At 43.1% G+C, this 23,132-nt stretch overlaps 1 long non-coding RNA gene across 6 annotated transcripts in view; it reads right to left on the minus strand.

The window, feature by feature from the left end:
- Positions 1-2,294: 2,294 nt before the first annotated feature.
- LOC105375883 (uncharacterized) overlaps positions 2,295-23,132 on the minus strand; it is a 41,410-nt gene continuing 20,572 nt past the window's right edge. For 4 of the 6 annotated variants that reach the window (XR_929008.3, XR_007060944.1, XR_007060947.1 and 1 more), the window contains 3 exons: positions 21,054-21,190; positions 8,854-8,929; positions 2,295-2,379 (listed from right to left, as the gene is read on the minus strand). This is a non-coding gene — a long non-coding RNA (uncharacterized LOC105375883). Of the gene's footprint in view, positions 2,380-8,634; positions 8,671-8,853; positions 8,930-21,053; positions 21,191-23,132 lie in introns of those variants that run through there. The other 2 variants (XR_007060945.1, XR_007060946.1) reach the window with 2 other exon arrangements.

The following is a 23,132-nucleotide window of genomic DNA, read 5'->3' on the forward strand; positions in this document are numbered from 1 at the left end:
TCCTGCGCCATGCGCCTGCACTCCTCAGCCCTTGGGCAGTCGATGGGACCGGGCGCCGTGGAGCAGGGGGCTGCACTCATCGGAGATGCTTGGGCTGTGCGGGAGCCCACTGCGGGGGGGGTTGGGCATGGCAGGCTGCAGGTCCCGAGCCCTGCTTCACAGGAAGGCGGCTGAGGCCCAGTGAGAATTCGAGAATGGCGCAGGCAGGCTGGCAGTGCTGGGGGACCTGGCGCCCCCTCTGCAGCTGCTGACCCAGGTGCTAAGCCCCTCACTGACCAGGGCTGGTGGCGTCTGCCAGTGGCTCCAAGTGCGGGGCCCACCAAGTCCATGCCCACCTGGAACTTGCGCTGGCCCGCGAGCACCACGCGCAGCCTGCTGCTCTCCCTCCACACTTCCTCGCAAGCAGAGGGAGCTGGCTCTGGCCTTGGCCAGCCCAGAGAGGGGCTCCCACAGTGCAGCGGCAGGCTGAAGGGCTCCTCAAGGGTGGCCAGAGTAGACGCTGAGGCCGAGGAGGTGCTGAGAGCAAGCGAAGGCCACCAGCACATTGTCACCTCTCACTTACACCTTCTGCCATGTGAGGACACAGCATTTCTCCCTTCTGGGGATGCAACAACAATGCACCATCTTGGAAGCAGAGAGCAGCCCTCATCAGACAACTGAACTAGTAGCACCTTGATTTTGGACTTCTTAGTCTCCAGAATTGTGAGAAAATAAATTTATCTTCTCTATAAATTACCCAGTCTCAGGTATTTTGTTATAGCAGCATAAATAGACTATCTTAGGCCATTCTTGCATTGCTTTAAATAAATACCTGAGACTGGGTAATTTATATGGAAAAGAGATTTAATTACCTTACAGTTCTACAGGCCTTATGAGAGGCATGGTGCTGATGTCTGCTCAGCTTGTGCTGAGGCCTTAGGAAGCTTACAGTCATGGCAGTAAGTAAAGTAGGAGCAGGCACTTCACATGGTGAAAGCAGGAACAAGAGAGAGAGTTGGCAGGGAGGTCCCACACAGTTCTAAATGACAAGATCTCATAACAACTCACTCACTGTCACAAGAATAGCACCAAGGGGATGGTGCTAACCCATTCATGAGAAATCTACCCCTGTGATCCAATCACCTCCCACCAGGACTCACCTCCAACATTGGGATTTACAATTCAACATGAGATTTGGGTGGAGACAAATATATAAATTACATCGCAGGCTGAGACAAACACTCTCTAGTATGGTTTGGCTCTGTCCCCCCCCCAAATCTTATCTTGAATTGTACTCCCATAATTCCCACATGTTGTGGGAGGGACCTGGTGGGAGATAATTAAATCATGGGGATGGTTTCCCCCATACCGTTCTCGTGATAGTGAATAAGTCTCATGAGATCTGATGGTTTTATCAGGGGTTTCCGCTTTTGCATCTTCCTCATTCTCTCTTTGCCTGCTGTTATCCACATAAGATGTGACTTGCTTCTCCTTGCCTTCAGTCATGATTGTGAGGCTTCCCCAGCCACGTGGAACTGTAAGTCCAGTTAAACCTCTTTCCTTTGTAAATTGCCCAGTCTCAGGTATGTCTTTATCAGCAGCATGAAAATGGACTAATACAGTAAATTTGTACGAGTAGAGTGGGGTGCTGCTGAAGAGATACCCCAAAATCTGGAAGAGACTTTGGAACTGGGTAACAGGCAGAGGTTGGAATAGTTTGGAAGGCCCAGAAGAAGACAGGAAAATGTGGGAAAGTTTGGAACTCCCTAGAGACTTGTTGAATGGCTTTGACCAAAAAGCTGATAATGATATGGACAATGAAATCCAGGCTGAGGTGGTCTCAGATGGAGATGAGGAACTTACTGGGAACTAGAGCAAATGTGACTCTTGTTATGTTTTAGCAAAGAGACTGGTGGCATTTTGCCCCTGCCCTAGAGATTTGTAGAATTTTGAACTTGAGAGAGATGATTTAGGATATCTGGTGGAAGAAATTTCTAAATAGCAAAGCATTCAAGATGTGACTTGGGTGTGTTGAAAGCATTCAGTATTAAAAGGGAAACAGAGCATAAAAGTTTAGAAAATTTGCAGCCTGACAATGAGGCAGAAATTTACTTAAGCAACAAGGCACAGAATGTTAATCCCTAAGACAATGGGGAAAATGTTTCTAGGGCATGTCAGAGGTCTTCATGGCAGCTCCTCCCATCACAGGTCTGGAGGCATAGGAAGAAAAAGTGGTTTCATGGGCCAGGTCCAGCTTCCCTGAGCTGTGTGCAGCCAAGAGACTTGATGCCCTGCGTTCCAGCTGCTCCAGCCATGGCTGAAAGGGCCAACGTAGAGTTCAGACCATGTCTTCAGATGGTGCGAGCCCCAAGCCTTGGCAGCTTCCATGTGGTGTTGAGCCTGTAGGTGCACAGAAGTCAAGAATTGAGGTTTTGGAACATCTACCTAGATTTCAGAAGATGTATGGAAATGCCTGGATGCCCAGGTAGCAGTTTGCTGCAGGGGTGGGGCTCTCATGGAGAACCTCTGCTAGGGCAGTGCAGAAGGAAAATGTGGGGTCAGAGCCCCCACACAGAGTCCCTACTGGGGCACTGCCTAGTGGAGCTGTGAGAAAAGGGCCACTGTCCCCCAGACAGTGAAGCTGTCATAATCCACCGACAGCTTGCACTGTGCACCTGGAAAAGCCGCAGACACTCAACACCAGCCCATGAAAGTGACTGGGAGGGAGGCTGTACCCTGCAAAGCCACAGGGGCAGAGCTTCCCAAGACTATGGGAACCTACCTTTTCATCAATGTGACCTGGATGTGAGACATGGAGTCAAAGGAGATAACTTTGGAGCTCTGAGATTTGACTGCCTCTCTGGATTTCTGATTTGCGTGGGGCCTGTAGCGCTTTTGTTTTGGCCAATTTCTCCCACTTGGAATGGCTCTATTTACCCAATGTCTGTATCCCCATTGTATCTAGGAAATAACTAGCTTCCTTTGATTTTACAGGCTCATGGGCGGAAGGGACTTGCCTTGCCTCAGATGAGACTTTGGACTGTGGACTTTTGAGTTAATGCTGAAATGAGTTAAGACTTTGGGGGACTGTTGGGAAGACATGATTGGTTTTGAAATGTGAGGACATGAGATTTGGCAGGAACCAGGGGTGGAATGATATGGTTTAGCTCTGTGTCCCCACCCAAATCTCATCTTGAATTGTACTCCCATAATGCCCACGTGTTGTGGGAGGGACCTGGTGGGAGATAATTGAATCATGGAGGCAGTTTTACCCATACTGTTCTCATGGTAGTGAATAAGTCTCATGAGATCTTATGGTTTTATCAAGGGTTTTTGCTTTTGCAACTTCCTCATTTTCTCTTTGCCTGCTGCCATCCACGTAAGATGTGACTTGCTCCTCTTTGCCTTCCATCATGATTGTGAGGCTTCTCCAGCCATGTGGAACTGTAAGTCCAATTAAACCTCTTTCTTTTGTAAATTGCCCAGTCTCAGGTATATCTTTATCAGCAGCATGAAAATCAATGAATACACTCCGCATGCAAATTGCATCCTAAAAGTGCAATTCATTTGCTATTCCCTGGGAACAGCCCATGTCACCACGTCTGGTTGCCTCCTTTTCTTTCATCTCCTACCTTTCTTGGTCCTACTAATCACTCGAGACCCTGCTCAAGTCTCACCATCTCCATCAGAACATCCCTGCTCCTTCCAGGGGGAAGGAAACTTTCTGCCCCTGCTCTTTTGCTGTGTATCAGAAAGCTATTTACATATCTGTCAAGGCCACCTTTTCATCATGACTAGTGATCTACATCAGTCTCCCTCATGAGACTGCAAGATCCTAAAGGGAAAGTCTCCTATATTCTGGACACACTGCCATACTCACATGCCCACACCCACACCCACGCTTGTGCTTGGCACTGGGCTTATGTGTTTTTGATGGAAGGAATCTTGGGAGCTGTGGGAAGGAATGAGGACTTGACTCTCATTTTGCGCCCTCCCCCCACTTCACATACCCTCACTAGCTTTCTCCTTCTTCTCATGCTTCCTGTCTGCTCCTGGCTTTTCAGTGGTTTGTTATAAATATGGTCACTCTTCTTATCCACATTGGGATAGATTTAAGATCGAACTTTGGCTTTTAAAAGCATATGCCTAAGACACTGAGCTTGTAAATCTACCCTGGTTAAACATGTGACAAGTGTTGTAAAGCAAATGTGACTGTATTTCCTTTTAGAAACTGATGTTCCTCATAAATGTCAGAACTGAAATATTTTAGGGAGTTATATTTTTACAAGAACTTTTAGAAAAGTGTTGATTATTAGCCACATTAGTCAAAGGTGCATAGGCTCAAACATCATTTGCCTATCCAAAGGGGGAGCTCAGTCTGACCTTGGTAGCTGTGGTTGCATTATAACTTCTTTTGTTCAGAGACATTTTGCTTTGAAAATGGTTTACACTTCACTGTTCAGAAACAGAAGTAAAACTGTTCATAGAGTGGATTGAGGGTCAACGGGCTTTCCTTCTTTCTTTTTTGGTGTTAACCACAGATGTCTTTAACTGAACATGGCCTTTCTAAATGACCCTTTCAGTTTCTATAGCTACTGCTTTGTGGACTAAAGTTCAACAGTTTGTGGGTTGGCCAATTTGACTTGGTAACCCCCTAAGCACACTCTGGAACAAAGTAAAAGACATAACATCTCTGTGAAGGGATCTGCTGGAATCCAGGTAAACAATAAGCCCTGAGTTTTATGACTACCAGTTAATAGTACATCTGTTCCAGGCCCTAGAACAACCAAAATGCAGCTTCTAATTATTAAAGCCACCATCTTCGTTTGTCCAACTAAGTAAAAGAGAGAACGTTAACCTTTCTGTCACTTCCAGGACATCAAAAAAGCAATTCCCTCTCCCTCTTCTTTTCTCCATCAAACCAGGAAGGAAAAAGAAAAGAAGGAAGGAAAAAGAAAAGGAAGGAAAAAACCTGAATATTTTCTACAATCAAACAAGAGAAATTTTAACAACTTTTCAAGAATAAGTGTAATGTTTCCCAGACAAGAATCTTTAATATAGTTGAGTAAACCAGATACTCTAAACTACTCTTCTTTTAGCACTCAGCCCCCATAATGACATATTATTGAATCCACATTTTGACACTAATTATGATAATTTTTCTAGAAGCAAAATGGAGCAGTAGTACAAGGGATGTGATGACATTCAAAGTGGTTGTGACATGTTGACTGACAGAGGACCAAAAAGGAGCATTGAAGATGGCTTTACAGGTTTAAGCCTAATGACTGGGAAAATGTGTAACCGAAGTAGGAAATCAAGAAGGGAGCTAGTTTTATGAAGCGGTTGCTTAGTTCAAGTTTAGATGTTGGGTTTGAGGTAGAGACAGCAGTATGTTCAGTGGAGGCCTACGGGGGCAGATAAAATGGAGCCTACGGGATATTGGACGTAAAGTATAATGCCCCTTCTGGTGCTGCTCCCTAAGATATATTTTGCATAGGAAGTGCAATGGTCTTTCTTAAAATAGGGTGTATAGAGTGTTTCAGAGAGGCAAATGATCACATATTTATGGTCTGTACTTGTCAAAAGTGAGGCCTGAAAATTTTGGGGTTTGGTAATAATGGCCCTGTATTAGTCATTTTTTGCATCACTATGAAGAAGTACCTGAGGCTGAGTAATTTATAAAGAAAAGAGGTTTAATTGGTTCATGGTTCTGCAGGCTGTGCACGAAGCATGGTGCCAGCATCTGCTTCTGATTGGGACCTCAGGAAGCTTCCAATCATGGCAGAAGATGAAGCAGGATAAGGTGTATCACATGGTGAGAGTGGGAATAAGAAAGAGAAGGGGGAGGTCCCAGACTCTTTTAAACAACCAGATCTTGAATGAACTAACCGAGTGAGAACTCACTCGTCACCATGGGGATGGCACTAAGCCATTCATGAGGAATCCAACCCCATGATCCAATCACCTCCCACCAGGTCCCACCTCCATCATTGGGGATTATATTTCAACATGAGATTTGGAGGGAACAAACAGCCAAAGCATATCAGTGCCCCAAAATAAGAAATTAACACTCCATGCCAAGAAGGATAAAAACACCCAGAAGTATACCCCCAAGCCAGGAAGAAGGGAATCTAAGCTGGATAATGCTGATACAATTCCCACAACCACACTAGGTGTTACCACCAACTTCAGAGTGAGAAAGAAGCAGCATATCCAGAATCACCTATACATTTACATTCAAGTTACTTGTTTAATAAACTAGATGTAGTTGTCATTCTCAACAAATCCTTTGCCACATCCCTAGGTTAAGGAACCTCTCTTAAAATTATGTGAAGCTTGTGTTATACAAGGGTTGATCCCATGCACATCATCATTCAGCTGGAGGTTGAGAAGGTAAGGTTTTCAGAAGTAAAGGGAATATCTAAGTTTCTCAAATTTTCTGCATGGAGTATAATGTGTTTATTTTAAAACACACAATTATTGAAAAAAGTTATTAACAAGAAAACTTTCTGAGCCCACAAAATAAAAATATACTTAAATAAAAAAAAATGTTAGGAGGATAGAACAAGGTGAATGCAATCCTCCTTATAATAGTGTAGTTTTGTTAAGTCAGTGTGAGCATCTGGCCTTCTTTCCAAGGGTTTCATCTCCTCAAAGAGAGTTTATCTGTACACCAGGTTGTCAAGGCAGCTGAGAAACAAGCAATAGGCTTCAAACACTGGAACTAATCATATGAATGCCAGCTAACAGATTTCTTTCTTTTTTTTCTTTTCTTTCTTTCCTTTTTTTTTTTTTTTGAGATAGGGTCTGGCTCTGTCTCCCAGACCGGAGTGCAGTGGCGTGATCCCGGCTCACTGCAACTTCTGCCTCCCAGGTTCAAGAGATTCTCCTGCCTCAGCCTCCCGAGTAGCTGGGATTACAGGCACGTGCCACCACGCCCGGCTAATTTCTTGTATTTTTAGTAGAGATGGGGTTTCACCATGTTGACCAGGCTGGTCTCAAACTCCTGACCTCAGGTGATCCACCCGCCTCGGCCTTCCAAAGTGCTGGGATTACAGACGTGAGCCACGGTGCCTGGCCCAGCTACCAGATTTCTTTTACTTTGTGTAAAATATATATAATGTCCTGAGCCCAGCATTCACATTCTACTTTGGCTTACATTTTGAATACTGTTGTCCTTTCACAGATAAGGATGGTTATGAATGCATACTAGGTATGTTCATGTATGGAGTTATACGATCCACTGCTCATAAAAAGGTGTATGACCTACGTATCCATGTACAGGGAAGAAAGTATGCCTCTTTAAAAAACATAAATAGAGAAAGAGCTGCTCAAGGAAAAAGATCCTCCAAAACAAACAACAATCATGAAAAATCTTGATTATTCACATTTGAATTGAAATGAAAGACCAAATGTTTTGGATTTTTCTAGGCACTCTCCCGCAAGAAAGAAACAAATTTGAAATCCACCTGAACTGAGAGATTTACTGGAAATGTCATTGCTTTGTGCTCTGGCACTTTCTACAACGAGAGTACTTGTCAGTTGGTGGGGGTGGGGGGTGGGAGGCGAGGGGTGGGTAGCAGAAGGCTGAGGAAAGAGGATGCAGATGAAAGCAGCAACTGGCAGTGTGGATGAGAACGATGGGGCCAGGAGATGCCTGGGAGGTGAGGAGGGCCCAGTGCTGGAAGGCAGATGGGGTCCAATTCAGGTAATGAGTCAGGAACCAGGCGATCCAACTCAACGAGCAGGCATCACCCAAATTCTGTGGTGAGCAATGCGGTTCAATCCTGCCTTTGCCTTTTCAACTTGTGGCCTGGGCACAACGGAAAAAGGGAGATGTTGTCCTTTGGCCCTGACAACAATGCTTGAAAACTCTCAACACCAAACCTTGAGGGCAGTGGCCAAGACACAGGCTGTCTCAGCTCCTTTCTTGCCATGGATGTCTGCTGCCGTTCACATAAGCCCCTTGCAGCTGCCTGAGGTACTTGGCTAGAATTCCCACCTCCTGGGGCGCAAACCTAGTAGTTTGTGGACCCCTTGGCCTGCTTGTCTGCTCCCCTGCCTCTTCCTCTCTCTCCTCTGAGGCTGGAGCCCATCTCCCCACAAGGCCCTCCTGCTCCTCCACTCAGTGCTCTCCCATCTCTCTTTCTGACTGAATTCTCAATCCTAGCTCCTAAATCTGCACTGGATCATGAAAATGAAGATTGTGAGGTATTGCAAATTCTTCAACACTCTACATTCCTTGGAGGTGGGAATGTGTCTGTAATGTTTGCCACACGTGTCTAGCCCCTAACAGCGTCTGCATGTGCCTGGCATGGAGGAAACACTAACAAAAGAATGAAAAATTAAAGTGAGTTGGTTATGTAGTATTTACAGAGAGTAGGAAACTTGGATTTTTTTTTTTTTTTTTTTTTTGAGACTAGGTCTTACCCTATCACCCAGGCTGGAATGCAGTGGCTCAATCACGGCTCACTGCAGCCTTGACCTTCTAGGCTCAAGTGATTCTCCCACCTCAGCCTCCTGGGTAGCTGGGACCAGAGGCATGCTCACCATGCCCGGCTAATTTTTGTATTTTTTGGTAGAGACTGGGTTTCACCACATTGCCCAGGCTGGTCTCGAACTCCTGAGATCAAGCAATCCACCTGCCTCAGCCTCCCAAAGTGGTGGGATTGCAGATGTAAGCCACCGCTCCTGGAAGGAAACAGGTTTTTAACATAGATTGAAACAAAAACATTTTTCTGCTTAATGAGAAAATTAAAATAATGAGAAACTATGAAAAATTAAAAGAATGGAAAACCATATTTATGGTTGATTGAGATTTAAATCCCAAGTATTTCATCCTCAAGGTCCCTCAAATATGCCAAGCAGCCTCACCCTTCAAGGCCTTTGTGTTTGCTGTTCTCTCTGCCTGGAATGTCCCTCCATCAACTCTCCACATAGCTCCTGTGTTCTGCAATGAAGAAAAGGGAACACACGTACACTGTTGGTGGGAAGGCAGATTAATACAATCTCTATGGAAAACAGTATGGAGATGTCTCAAAGAACTAAAAATAAAACTACCATTTTATCCAGCAATCCCACTACTGGGTATCTACTCAAAAGAAAAATCAGCATGTAAAACAGATACCTGCACTCATGTTTATTGCAGCACTATTCACCATGGAAAAGATATGAAATCAATCTAAGTGTCCATCAATAGATGATTGGATAAAGAAAATGTGGTATATACATATAAATTCCATGGAATACTATTCAGCCATAAAAAGAATGAAATCATGTCTTCTGCATCAACATGTACAGACTCGAGGCCATTATCTTAAGTAAAGTAACTCAGAAACAGAAAGTCAAAATACTGCGTGTTCTCACTTATAAGTGGGAGCTAAATAATGTGTACACTTAGACCCAGAGACTGGAATAATAGACTTTGGAGACTCAGAAATGTGGGAGGGTGAGAGCAGGATGATGGATGAGAAATTACTTAATGGGTACAAGGTACACTATTCGGATGATGGTTACACCAAAAGTCCAGACTTCGCCACTCCACAGCGTATCCTTGTCACAAAACTGCACTTGTGCCCCCAAATCTATAAAAACAATTTTTTTTTTTTGAGACAGAGTCTCACTCTGTTGCCCAGGCTGGAATGCAGTGGCAGGATCTCAGCTCACTGCAAGCTCCGCCTCCTGGGTTCACACCATTCTCCTGCCTCAGCCTCCTGAGTAGCTGGGACTACAGGCGCCTGCCACCATGCCTGGCTAATTTTTTTGTATTTTTTTTTTAGTAGAGACGGGGTTTCACCATGTTAGCCAGGATGGTCTCAGTCTCCTAAAAATAATTTTTTTAATTATGAAAGAAAATAGCCTGGTATATTTAATTTTATTGGACTTAAATACAAACTGACCTTCTGTTTACAAACATTGTGACATGGGAGTACATACTCCTCATTTTAACATACCCTTTTGATCTTCATTAACCTATTCTAAAATATGTTACTGCTTACTTACTCCACAATATTTTATCTGTCGGCTAAATAAGACAGAACAGCTGCCTCCTAGATACATAGAATGAATCATAAAACTACATACTCAGGTTATGTGCAGCAAAAGCAGGGGTCTTCATACACACTCATGCTTAATCTTTAAATGCATCTTTTAATGGGGCTTTTGACACTCAAATAGCCAAAGTGCATTTATGAATTAATGCTTTTAAAGCAGCTCACTACTCATTCATGGATAATTCTGTTGACACTTGTTTTTTTCATATCTAATGGGAAGTTTCAAGCCTACTCCATGGGAAAGCATACATTGAATTTGGGGATTTATCGTGGTATCATATGTTAGACACCAGATTCTAGTCTTTGACTTCCCTGCTAAGCCAGAGAGCCCTGAAAAGTGTAAACACACTTGTCATTCCTGGGAGGTCACTGTTCAACATGGATATAAAAGGATTATAAACAAAGATCAGGATAATTGGAGCAAGGGTGGTGAGGGGTCAGGTCTGGGAAGTGATGATGATCTAGAATGCCCAGGGAAAATGGCATAGGTCATTGAACAGGGGCTGGATCCACAGAGTATTTTTAGTGTCCCAAGCAAGATTTAAACTTTTATCTTTAGTTATTAAAACATAAGGCAGAATCTCCTGCTATTTTTTCTCAAGGAAGAACTGTTACTAAAGCTTCTACAAAGAAGCCTAAGACCCCTCCCTCTCTTACCAGAAGCTAAACGTAACAAATAAGGACCCTGGTCTCTGGTCAGAAAACCATTCCCTTGGCTGGAGGAGAGTTACTCAACTTCTCTGAGCCTTGGTTTCCTTACTTGCTAAACAGAGTAATAATGTATATCATAGGTTGCCATAAATATTAAATGAAACTCGCCACGGTGGCTCATGCCTGTAAGCCCAACACTTGAGAGGCTGAGATGGGAGAATTGCTTGAGCCCAGGAGTTCAAGACCAGCCTGGACAACACAGAGAGATCACACCTCTAATAAAAATGAAAAATTAATCAGGCGTGGTGATGTGTATCTTTGTTTCCAGCTATTCAGGAGCCTGAAGCAGGAGGATTGCTTGAGCCCAGGAGGTCAAGGCTGCAGTGAGCCATGACGGTGTCACCGCACTCCAGCCTGGGTGACAGAGTGACACTCTGTCTCAAAAAGAAACCAAAAAAACAAAACCAAATGAAGCCCTCAAAAATATTAAATGAGATAAGGTACATAAAGTGATAAGCTTGGGACTCATGATTTAGTAAGCACTCAAGAAGCTCATATTAATGTTTACTTCTTCCACATTCTTCCTGTTCCCTTACTCCTCTCTGCTTCGTTTCTCCTTCCTTTGTTTTTCTCTCACTGTAGAGCCTGATTGTAATGATTGTTTGTAAGTATTTATTGAACATCAATCCATTATCATTAAATAATAATTCAGGAGAGTCAATATGTATGTGAGGATTTACTAAACAACCCTCAGAAGCAATGGGCTAGGAGATACAGGTCGGAGACTGTGCGTTCGGTCCCCCTGATGGGTGCACACTCCCACAGTGATGCAATGCAGGGTGTTATTCCATAGTGGGGGGCAACATAGCTTTTGGATGGCTGAAGGTGGCTGGCCTTGATAAAAAAGTAAAGGCCTACAGTAGTTGGAAGGTCTGCTCCCATTTGGAAGCCACAGGTTCCTGGGTAAAGGTTTTCTAGAGAGGGGACATGGGAAGAGACTAGTTTTACTGCTTCTTAGAATCCCTGAGACACTGGAGAACAGGCTTTGTGAACTCTGAAGTGGCAACTCTCTGAGGGCTGTGGCTAAGAAGAGGGCATACCAGGGAAATGCCTGTGTTCCCCAGAGGCATTCTGATCCGTTAGAGCTAGACATGGAGCTGGGGAGGCTGCTTCATGAGCCCCCTCTCTACCCTTTTCCCTGCTCATACCTTTGTCCTACCTGGTCTGCTCTCTGCCCCTGGCCATGCCCTTCACGGGACTACCACTTCTTGCCTCCATGTGTCTACTTCAGCCATGTTGAAATCCTTCCAGTTTCCTAAAGGGCTTTATTTATTTATTTGTTTGTTTGTTTGTTTGTTTGTTTATTTTGAGACAAGGTCTCGCTCTGTCGCCCAGGCTGGAGTGCATGGCACGATCTCACTACAACCTCCACCTCCTGGGCTCAAGCAATCTTCCCACCTCAGCCTCCTGAGTAGTTGGAATGACAGGAGTGTACCACCATGCCTGGCTAAGTTTTTGTATTTTTTGTAGAGATGTGGTTTTGCCATGTTGCCCAGGCTGGTCTCTGACTCCTGAGCCCAAGCAATCTGCTCCCTGGGATTACAGGCTTGAGCCACTGCACCTGGCCATCTTCTTTATTTATGAAAGGCAGAGCTGCTGCTTCTGCCTTTAATATTCTTTTTGGCCTACCTTCTATTTGTTGTCAAGACCCACCTCTGTGCAGTCTCCCTTCATCCCCATCCCTTCCACAAGGCGCCCCTGCAGTGTGCATGGTCTTGGTACTGTGGCCTTGTGGCCCTCATCAGTCAGTGTATAATTGCTAGGACCTCTCACTCTCCTGGAAGTCTGTTGAGAGTAGAGATGGTATTCATTTCTCTAATCTCTGTGTTGCTAACACACAGCACGGTGCCTGATGCATAGAAAGTGCTTAGTAAGTGTTGGTGGAGTAAACTAATAAGAATCTCCATCCTCCCTACATCCTCCATCTGAAAGTGAACTGTGACGGCTTCCCCCAAATAATTAAGTTGTGTTTAAAAAGCACAAACTTGGTTGGATGCAGTGGCTCACGCCTGTAATCCCAGCACTTTGGGTGGTTAAGGCAGGTAGATCACCTGAGGTCAGGAGTTCGAGACCAGCTTGAACAACATGGTGAAACCCTGTCTCTACTAAAAATACAAAAAATTAGCCAGGCGTGGTGGCGAGCGCCTGTTATCCCAGCTACTCGGGTGGCTGGGGCAGAAGAATAGCTTGAGCCCGGGAGGTGGAGGTTGCAGTGAGCTGAGATTGCGCCATTGCACTCCAGCCTGGGCGACAAGAGTGAGACTCCATCTCAAAAAAAAAAAAAGAAAAAAGAAAAAGCATACACTTTCACCTTTCTCCTTGGGTGTCAGAAAGATTAATGTCTATTTGGCAACGAAGATTTTGTAAGGAGACTTAGCTCTTTGAAGGAAAGGGGCCATGCATGTTTTAAAAGACATTAATGATTTTGATCTGTGGTGATTGCCACATCTGTCCTCGTACTCTGCTTGTGGAGAATACAAGTATCCTTCACTACTTAGGAAAGTGGTACAACTTTTAAATGACTAAAAATGACCCTATATTACCTTGAATTCTGGTCAGATGAAATAATTTTTAAAAGTTATTCTGACCAAGTAAAACAAATAAGATGAATTTGATTCACTTACTCTCTGTCCTCTAACAGGGGAGGAGCAACTGGTTTTTTTAAAAAGAATGTGGGCTGCCAACATTTCTTTTTTCTATCCTGAGATATATGTTCAGACATCACATGTCACATTGCCGTAGGCAGCAATTACAGAAGATGAGTCGAATACAGGTTCAGAAATGCATGCCAAAAAAAAAAAAGGTATTCACTAGGTATCAGTGGCTACTGTACTTGGCTTTTGGGAAGTCCACAGGGAGGTCCTTGCTAAGTAATTGTGAGGGTTTATTGAACACAAAACATCATTCCTCCAACAGTTTGCTGTGCCCCTTAATTCCTTTCAAAATAAACTCTTCCACTTACTCTTGTTCCAAGGCACCCCTTGCCATTGAAGATTGGCCTTCCCTGAATGATAATAGGTGGAGACAGATGAGTCTAATTTTGACCTACTTCCTAATAATGTCATCACCCAGGATTTGTCAAGTAATTGCTGAAAGTCCTAAAAAGTTTGAACAACATGGGGAAACTTCAAAGATGAGCATAAAGATATGCACTGCATACTTAATTGTTGAAATGCTTCTTATATCCCTGAGATGCCTCCAAGGAAATGTCCTTAAAATGTCACCATAAAGAGACAACATTATCACCGTCAGCAAGGAAAATTTCTACATAAGTTTCTAAACTACAAGATTAGAGCTTTGGCCAGCTAGGAGACAGTGTGATTGTTGTGAAAGAAAAGCGTGGACTTTGTAGTACAGGCCAGGTTCATACCCGCTCCCTGACTTAGAGGCTGTGTAACGTTGGGCAAATTACTTAACTTCAGGAAGACTCTCTTTCTTATCTTTACATTTGGGTTCCTAACTACCTCATAAATTTATTGTTTATTGAATCAAGTAATTAATAAATGTTTATTTATTGAGCTGGGTGCTAGAGATTTAAAAATAAGATACAGTGTTCTCCCTCAAATATTTCATTGTCTAGGAGCAGAAACTGTTGAATACAAAAATAATTGTAGCACACTGTGAAACTGTCTTAATGCTAGTAAGTTCAAGGTGGTACAAAGGAGAAAGTGATCAGGTCTACTTGGGACAATCAAGGAAGGCTTCAAAGAAGAGAAATTTAGGCATCATCTAATGTTTAACAGATGAATAAAATGGAAAGACATCAAGTGCAAAATCAACAGAATGCTCAATGGCATTGTAAACAAATTCAGAACTTCAAGAGTTCAGGAAATGTCAAGTTGTTCAGCATCTCTGTATATTTAAGAAGTGGAAGAAGCTTGGTGACCATCTGCAGGAGAAGGCATAGCAAAGAAAAGAATGACATTCAATTTTCTGTATTGAGTTGCTTTGCTGAGCCTGATGTCCTTTACTGAGGGACATAAGAGGAGATGGTAAAGATAAAGAGATAACATTGGGACGAGTTGAGTGTGAGAGTTCTTTGAAATGTCTGCATGAAATGTCTTGTAAACAGTTCATTGTAGTGTTCTGGAACTCAGAAGAGAAAACTGACCTGGAGATTCAGGCTCAGAACCCAGAGCCTTATTTCTAGGGCCAGATGAGCACTTGGATCTTCCCTCTTACACAGGATGGCTTCAAACCAGCAATATTAAGAAGCCTGGGTTGTAGGGGTAGTGTTCAAGAGAGAATCCACAGGTCAGAGTCTTGGGGAGAGGAGTGATATGCTTGAAAAACTCCTTATCCATCTTTTTTTTAAATCTGAAATTCAAATCTTTTTTAATTTTTTTTATTATACTTTAAGTTCTAGGGTACATGTGCACAACGTGCAGGTTTGTTACATATGTATACATGTGCCATATTGGTGTGCTGCACCCGTTACCTCATCATTTACATCAGGTATCTCTCCTAATGCTATCCCTCCCCCCTCCCTCCACCCCACGACAGTCCCTGGTGTGTGATGTTCTCCACCCTGTGTCCAAGTGTTCTCATTGTTCAATTCCCACCTATGAGTGAGAACATGTGGTGTTTGGTTTTCTGTCCTTGCAATAGTTTGCTGAGAATGATGGTTTCCAGCTTCATCCATATCCCTACAAAGGACATGGACTCATCCTTCTTATGGCTGCATAGTATTCCATGGTGTATATGTGTCACATTTTCTTAATCCAGCCTATCATTGATGGATATTTGGGTTGCTTCCAAGTCTTTGCTATTGTGAATAGTGCTGCAATAAACATACATGTGCATGTGTCTTTATAGCAACATGATTTATAATCCTTTGGGTATATACACAGTAATGGGATGACTGGGTCAAATGGTTTTTCTAGTTCTAGATCCCTGAGGAATTGCCACACTGTCTTCCATAATGGTTGAATTAGTTTACAGTCCCACCAACAGTACAAAAGTGTTCCTATTTCTCCACATCTTCTCCAGCACCTGTTGTTTCCTGCCTTTTTAATGATCACCATTCTAACTGGTGTGAGATGGTATCTCACTCTGGTTTTGATTTGCATTTATCTGACGGCCAGTGATGATGCATTTTTTTCATGTGTCTGTTGGCTGCATAAATATCTTCTTTTGAGAAGTGTCTGTTCATATCCTTTGCCCACTTTGTGATGGGGTTTGATTTTTTCTTGTAAATTTGTTTAAGTTCTTTGTAGATTCTGGTTATTAGCCCTTTGTCAGATGGGTAGATTGCAAAAATTTTCTCCCATTCTGTAGGTTGCCTCTTCACTCTGATGGCGGTTTCTTTTGCTGTGCAGAAGCTCTTTAGTTTAATTAGATTCCATTTCTCAATTTTGGCTTTTGTTGCCGTTGCTTTTTGTGTTTTAGACATGAAGTCCTTGCCCATGCCTATGTCCTGAATGGTATTGCCTAGGTTTTCTTCTAGGGTTTTTATGGTTTTAGGTCCGAGATTTAAGTCTTTAATCCATCTTGATTTAATTTTTGTATAAGGTGTAAGGAAGGGATCCAGTTTCAGCTTTCTACATATGGCTAGCCAGTTTTCCCAGCACCATTTATTAAATAGGGAATCCTATCCCCATTTCTTGCTTTTGTCAGGTTTGTCAAAGATCTGTTGGTTGTAGATGTGTGGTGTTATTTCTGAGGCCTCTGTTCTGTTCCATTGGTCTATATCTCTGTTTTGGTACCAGTACCATGCTGTTTTGGTTACTGTAGCCTTGTAGTATAGTTTGAAGTCAGGTAGCGTGATGCCTCCAGCTTTGTTCTTTTGGCTTAGGGTTGTCTTGGCAATGCGGGCTCTTTTTTGGTTCCATATGAAATGTAAAGTAGTTTTTTCCAATTCTGTGAAGAAAGCCATTGGTAGCTTGATGGGGATGGCATTGAATCTCTAAATTACCTTGGGCAGTATGGCCATTTTCATGATAGTGATTCTTCCTATCCATGAGCATGGAATGTTCTTCATTTGTTTGTGTCCTCTCTTATTTCCTTGAGCAGTGGTTTGTAATTCTCCTTGAAGAGGTCCACATCCCTTGTAGGTTGGATTCCTTGGTATTTTATTCTCTTTGAAGCAATTTGTGAATGGGAGTTCCCTCATGATTTGTCTCTCTATTTGTCTGTTATTGGTGTATAGGAATGCTTGTGATTTTTGCACACTGATTTTGTATCCTGAGACTTTGCTGAAGTTGCTTATCAGCTTAAGGAGGTTTTGGGCTGAGACAATGGGGTTTTCTAAATATACAATCATGTCATCTGCTTTTCCAAATTGAATACTCTTTATTTCTTTCTCCTGCCTGATTGCCCTGACCAGAACTTCCAACACTATGTTGAATAGGAGTGGTGAGAGAGGGCATCCCTGTCTTGTGCCAGTTTTCAAAGGGAATGCTTCCAGTTTTTGCCCATTCAGCATGATATTGGCTGTGGGTATGTCATAAATAGCTCTTATTATTTTAAGATACATATCATCAATACCTAATTCATTGAAAGTTTTTAGCGTGAAGTGTTGTTGAATTTTGTCAAAGGCCTTTTATATGCTGGATTACGTTTTTTGATTTGTGTATGTTGAACCAGCCTTGCATCCGAGGGATGAAGCCCACTTGATCATGGTGGATAAGCTTTTTGATGTGCTGCTGGATTTGGTTTGCCAGTATTTTATTGAGGATTTTTGCATCGATGTTCATCAGGGATATTGGTTTAAAATTTCTTTTTTTGTTGTGTCTCTGCCAGATTTTGGTATCAGGATGATGCTGGCCTCATAAAATGAGTTAGGGAGGATTCCCTCTTTTTCTATTGATTGGAATAGTTTCAGAAGGAATGGTACCAGCTACTCTTTGTACTTCTGGTAGAATTCAGCTGTGAATCCATCTGGTCCTGGACTTTTTTTGGTTGGTAGGCTCTTAATTATTGCCTCAATTTCAGAGCCTGTTATTGGTCTATTCAGAGATTCATCTTCTTCCTGGTTTAGTCTTGGGAGGGTGTATGTGTCCAGGAATTTATCCATTTCTTCTAGATTTTCTAGTTTATTTGCATAGAGGTGTTTATAGTTTTCTCTGATGGTAGTTTGTATCTCTGTGGGATCAGTGGTGATATCCCCTTTATCATTTTTTTATTGTGTCTATTTGATTCTTCTCTCTTTCTTCTTTATTAGTCTTGCTAGCTGTCTATCAATTTTGTTGATCTTTTCAAAAAACCAGCTCCTGGATTCATTGATTTTTTGAAGGGTTTTTTGTGTCTCTATCTCCTTCAGTTCTGCTCTGATCTTAGTTATTTCTTGCCTTCTGCTAGCTTTTGAATGTGTTTGCTCTTGCTTCTCTAGTTCTTTTAATTGTGATGTTAGGGTGTCAATTTTAGATCTTTTCTGCTTTCTCTTGTGAGCATTTAGTGCTATAAATTTCCCTCTGCACACTGCTTTAAATGTGTCCCAGAGATTCTGGTATGTTGTGTCTTTGTTCTCACTGGTTTCAAAGAACATCTTTATTTCTGCCTTCATTTTGTTATGTACCCAGTAGTCATTCAGGAGCAGGTTGTTCAGTTTCCATGTAGTTGAGTGGTTTTAAGTGAGTTTCTTAATCCTGAGTTTTAGTTTGATTGCATTGTGGTCTGAGAGACAGTTTGTTATAATTTCTGTTCTTCTACATTTGCTGAGGAGTGCTTTACTTCCAACTATGTGGTCAATTTTGGAATAAGTGCAATGTGATGCTGAGAAGAATGTATATTCTGTTGATTTGGGGTGGAGAATTCTGTATATGTCTATTAGGTCCGCTTGGTGCAGAGCTGAGTTCAATTCCTGGATATCCTTGTTAACTTTCTGTCTCATTGGTCGGTCTAATGTTGACAGTGGGGTGTTAAAGTCTCCCATTATTATTGTGTGGGAGTCTAAGTCTCTTTGTAGGTCTCTAAGAACTTGCTTTATGAATCTGGGTGCTCTTGTATTGGGTGCATATATATTTAAGATAGTTAGCTCTTCTTGTTGAATTGATCCCTTTACCATTACGTAATGGCCTTCTTTGTCTCTTCTGATCTTTGTTGGTTTAAAGTCCGTTTTATCAGAGACTAGGATTGCAACCACTGCTTTCTTTTTTGTTTTCCATTTGCTTGGTAGATCTTCCTCCATCCTTTTATTTTGAGCCTATGTGTGTCTTCTGCATGTGAGATGGGTTTCCTGAATACAGCACACTGATGGGTCTTGACTTTTTATCCAATTTGCCAGTCTGTGTCTTTTAATTGGAGCATTTAGCCCATTTACATTTAAGGTTAATATTGTTATGTGTGAATCTGATCCTGTCATTATGATGTTAGCTGGTTATTTTGCTCGTTAATTGATGCAGTTTCTTCCTAGCCTCGACGGTCTTTACAATTTGGCATGTTTTTGCAGTGGCTGGTACCAGTTGTTCCTTTCCATGTTTAGTGCTTCCTTCGGGAGCTCTTTTAGGGCAGGCCTGGTGATGACAAAATCTCTCAGCATTTACTTGTCTGTAAAGGATTTTATTTCTCCTTCACTTATGAAGCTTAGTTTGGCTGGATATGAAATTCTGGGTTGAAAATTCTTTCCTTTAAGAATGTTGAATATTGGCCCCCACTCTCTTCTGGCTTCTAGAGTTTCTGCTGAGAGATCCACTGTTAGTCTGATGGGCTTCCCCTTGTGGGTAACTTGACATTTCTCTCTGGCTGCGCTTAACATTTTTTCCTTCATTTCAACTTTGGTAAATCTGACAATTATGTGTCTTGGAGTTGCTCTTCTCGAGGAGTATCTTACTGGCATTCTCTGTATTTCCTGAATTTGAATGTTGGCCTGCCTTTCTAGGTTGGGGAAGTTCTCCTGGATAATATCCTGCAGAGTGTTTTCCAACTTGGTTCCATTCTCCCCGTCACTTTCAGGTATACCAATCAGACGTAGATTTGGTCTTTTCACATAGTCCCATATTTCTTGGAGGATTTGTTCATTTCTTTTTACTCTTTTTTCTCTAAATTTCTCTTCTCACTTCATTTCATTCATTTGATCTTCAATCACTGATACCCTTTCTTCCAGTTGATCGAATCGGCTACTGAAGCTTGTGCATGCATCATGTAGTTCTTGTGCCACAGTTTTCAGCTACATCAAGTCATTTAAGGTCTTCTCTATACTGTTTATTCTAGTTAGCCAATCTTTTTTTCAAGGTTTTTAGCTTCTTTGCAATGGGTTTGAACATCCTCCTTTAGCTCAGAGAAGTTTGTTATTACCGATCTTCTGGAGCCTTCTTCTCTCAACTCGTCAAAGTCGTTCTCCGTCCAGCTTTGTTCTGTTGCTGGCGAGGAGCTGCGTTCCTTTCGAGAAGAAGAGGCACTCTGATTTTTAGAATTTTCAGCTTTTCTGCTCTGGTTTTTCCCCATCTTTATGGTTTTATCTACCTTTGGTCATTGATGATGGTGATGTACAGATGGGGTTTTGGTGTGGATGACCTTTCTGTTTGTAAGTTTTCCTTCTAACAGTCAGGACCCTCAGCTGCAGGTCTGTTGGAGTTTGCTGGAGGTCCACTCCAGACTCTGTTTGCCTGGGTATCACCAGCAGAAGCTGCAGAACTGCAAATATTGCAGAACGGCAAATGTTGCTACCTGATTGTTCCTCTGGAAGCTTCACTGGGGGGGCACCCGTCGTTATGAGGTGTCAGTTGGCCTCTACTGGGAGGTGCCTCCCAATAAGGCTACTCGGGGTCAGGGACCCACTAGAGGAGGCAGTCTGTCGGTTCTCAGATCTCAAACTCCGTGCTGGGGGAACCACTACTGTCTTCAAAGTTGTCAGACAGGGACGTTTAAGTCTGCAGAAGTTTCTGCTGCCTTTTGTTCAGCTATGCCCTGCCCCTAGTGTTGGTGTCTACAGAGGCAGGCAGGCCTCCTTGAGCTGTGGTGGGCTCCACCCAGTTGGAGCTTCCTGGCCGCTTTGTTTACCTACTCAAGCCTCAGCAATGGCGGGCACCCCTCCCCCAGCCTCGCTGCTGCCTTGCAGTTGGATCTCAGACTGCCATGCTAGCAGTGAGCAAGGTTCCATGGGTGTGGGACCCTCCAAGCCAGGCATGGGATATAATCTCCTAGTGTTCTGTTTGCTAAGACCGTTGGAAAAGCACAGTATTAAGGTGGGAGTGACCTGATTTTCCAGGTTCTGTCTGTCACGGCTTCCCTTGGCTAGGAAACGGAATTCCCCAACCCCCTGTGCTTCCCAGGTGAGGTGATGCCTCACCCTGCTTTGGCTAATGCTCAATGGGCTGCACCTGCTGGCCTGCACCCATTGTCCAACAAGCCCCAGTGAGATGAACCAGGTACCTCAATTGGAAATGCAGAAATCCCCTGTCTTCTGCGTTGCTCATGCTGGGAGCTGTAGACTGGAGCTGTTCCTATTCGGCCATCTTGGAACCTCCTTCCTTATCCATCTTTAGAGCAGAACTGCCATCAAAGAAAACCTGCCCAAACCCAGTAAGCGCTGTTAAAATAGTTAAAGTTATTTTATTTTATTTTATTTTTGCTTGGGTTTCTTTAATATTTTGAATGAATACATAGACCATAGAAACACTTAAAACCTCATCTCTTTCCCGTTTACTTCTCTCTCATCACAGACTGCTCCTCCAACACTCCTGCACATTCTGCAAAGCCTTCTTCTAGTCCTAGCCCCCACATCGCCTGTCTCTACCTCCCTCCCACTTTCTCCTTATTCTATATCTTGCAATCTGCAAAGATTTCAAAGAAGTCTTTGGAAATGTTTGAAAAGAAGATTTCCAGTCTGGTGAGGCAAGAAGAGGCTTTCTGAAGACTGAGAAAGGAGAAGAAATGATGCCAGCAAAGTGAGGATTGTTTTAGAGGCCAGGAGTTGGGGAAAGGTTGGAAGGGCTCTTCCATTAATGTTTTTGTTCCTGTCACAGTGGACTCAAAAGCCAGGCTGATCTTCTAAATAAGTCATACATGCAAAGAGGCTTAGCAGAGAGCAAGGACCCTTGTACCAGGAAGTAGACGGCAACCAAATGAAAGAAGAAGGTTCTGATCAGTGGGTGAAAGATACTGCCCAGAGAAATTCCCTGACCTGCAGAGAATGGGTGAAGCAGCTTGTACAGGTTCTAGTGGTCTCTAGCACAGGGGAAAGGAGCCACTAAAGTGCTAATGAGGCCTGGACATCATTGGAAGAAGGTATAGAGTGAGAAGAAAACAAGAGTCAGGACAGATGCTTATGGAGCAAGTGGAAAAAAAGAGTCAATGAAAGATTCTGATGAGAAACTGTCAAGGATGTGGACGAGGACCAGGAGTGTGTGGTGTCCTGGAAATTAGGAAGTATTTTTTAAAGAGACAGTATCAAATATTTCATAAAGGTCAAGTTTGATAAGGAATGGAAAGTATCCATTGGGCGTGGCAATTGAGAAGTTACTGGTGACCTTAACAAAAGCATCTTTAGTGGAATGGTGGGAGCAAAAGGCAGTTTGCTCATTAAGAGTGAAACATGACAAGCTCCAGACATGAGGACAAGTCTCCTGAGCAGCCTGTCTGAGGAGTGGCACAGGACAATAGCTAGAGGAGTTTATCCCACCCTCCCTCCCTCCCTCCCTCTGTCTGTGTCTCCTTCCTTCTTTCTCTTCCTTCTCTCTACATTCATAATAGGCAAGACATATACTTTTTTTTTTGTATGAGATGGAGTCTTGCTCTGTTGACCAGGCTGGAGTGCAGTGGCGTGATCTCCGCTCACTGCAACCTCTGCCTCCCGGTTCAAGCAATTCTCCTGCCTCAGCCTTCCGAGTAGCTGGGATTACAGGCATGTGCCACCATGCCCAGCTAATTTCTTGTACTTTTAGTAGAAATGGGGTTTTGCCATGTTGGCCAGGCTGGTCTCAAACCCCTGACCTCAAGTTATTTGCCTGCCTCGGCCTCCCAAAGTGTTGGGATTACAGGCGTGAGCCACCACGCCCAGCAACATATACTTTTTTAAAGGCTGTTAAGTAGGATCTTGTGATGAAGAGTCTGAAAGTCCAGAATGGAAATGGCACAGATGGAGGCATTGACCTTGAATAAGAGAAGAAGGAAAGGAATATCTGTTCTTCTGAGGATGGAGGGCATGGATTAAGGGAAAGGTGTACATAGGAAGGTTTTGTGAGAAAGCAGGAGGTGATCAGTCAGCAAGTTGAGGGAGTTTGTCTGTTAGCCTCCAACCTCCAAGTTCTCTGCAAGGGAGCTAGCAAGATCATCCTCTGAGAGCAAAAATTAGGAGGCAAGGACAGGCTCAGGGGACATAGAGAGGTTTGGAATAATGACAGTAGAGAATGGGAGAGAGGGACAAAATAAATGGCACAGAGGGCTCACATGTGTGGGACCACATGTTTGTGAAACCAAGTATATTTGAAACTCATAATACATTTTTTCCCT

This window comes from Homo sapiens, chromosome 8, assembly GCF_000001405.40.
Source record: "Homo sapiens chromosome 8, GRCh38.p14 Primary Assembly".
NCBI classification, from domain to species: Eukaryota; Metazoa; Chordata; class Mammalia; order Primates; family Hominidae; genus Homo; species Homo sapiens.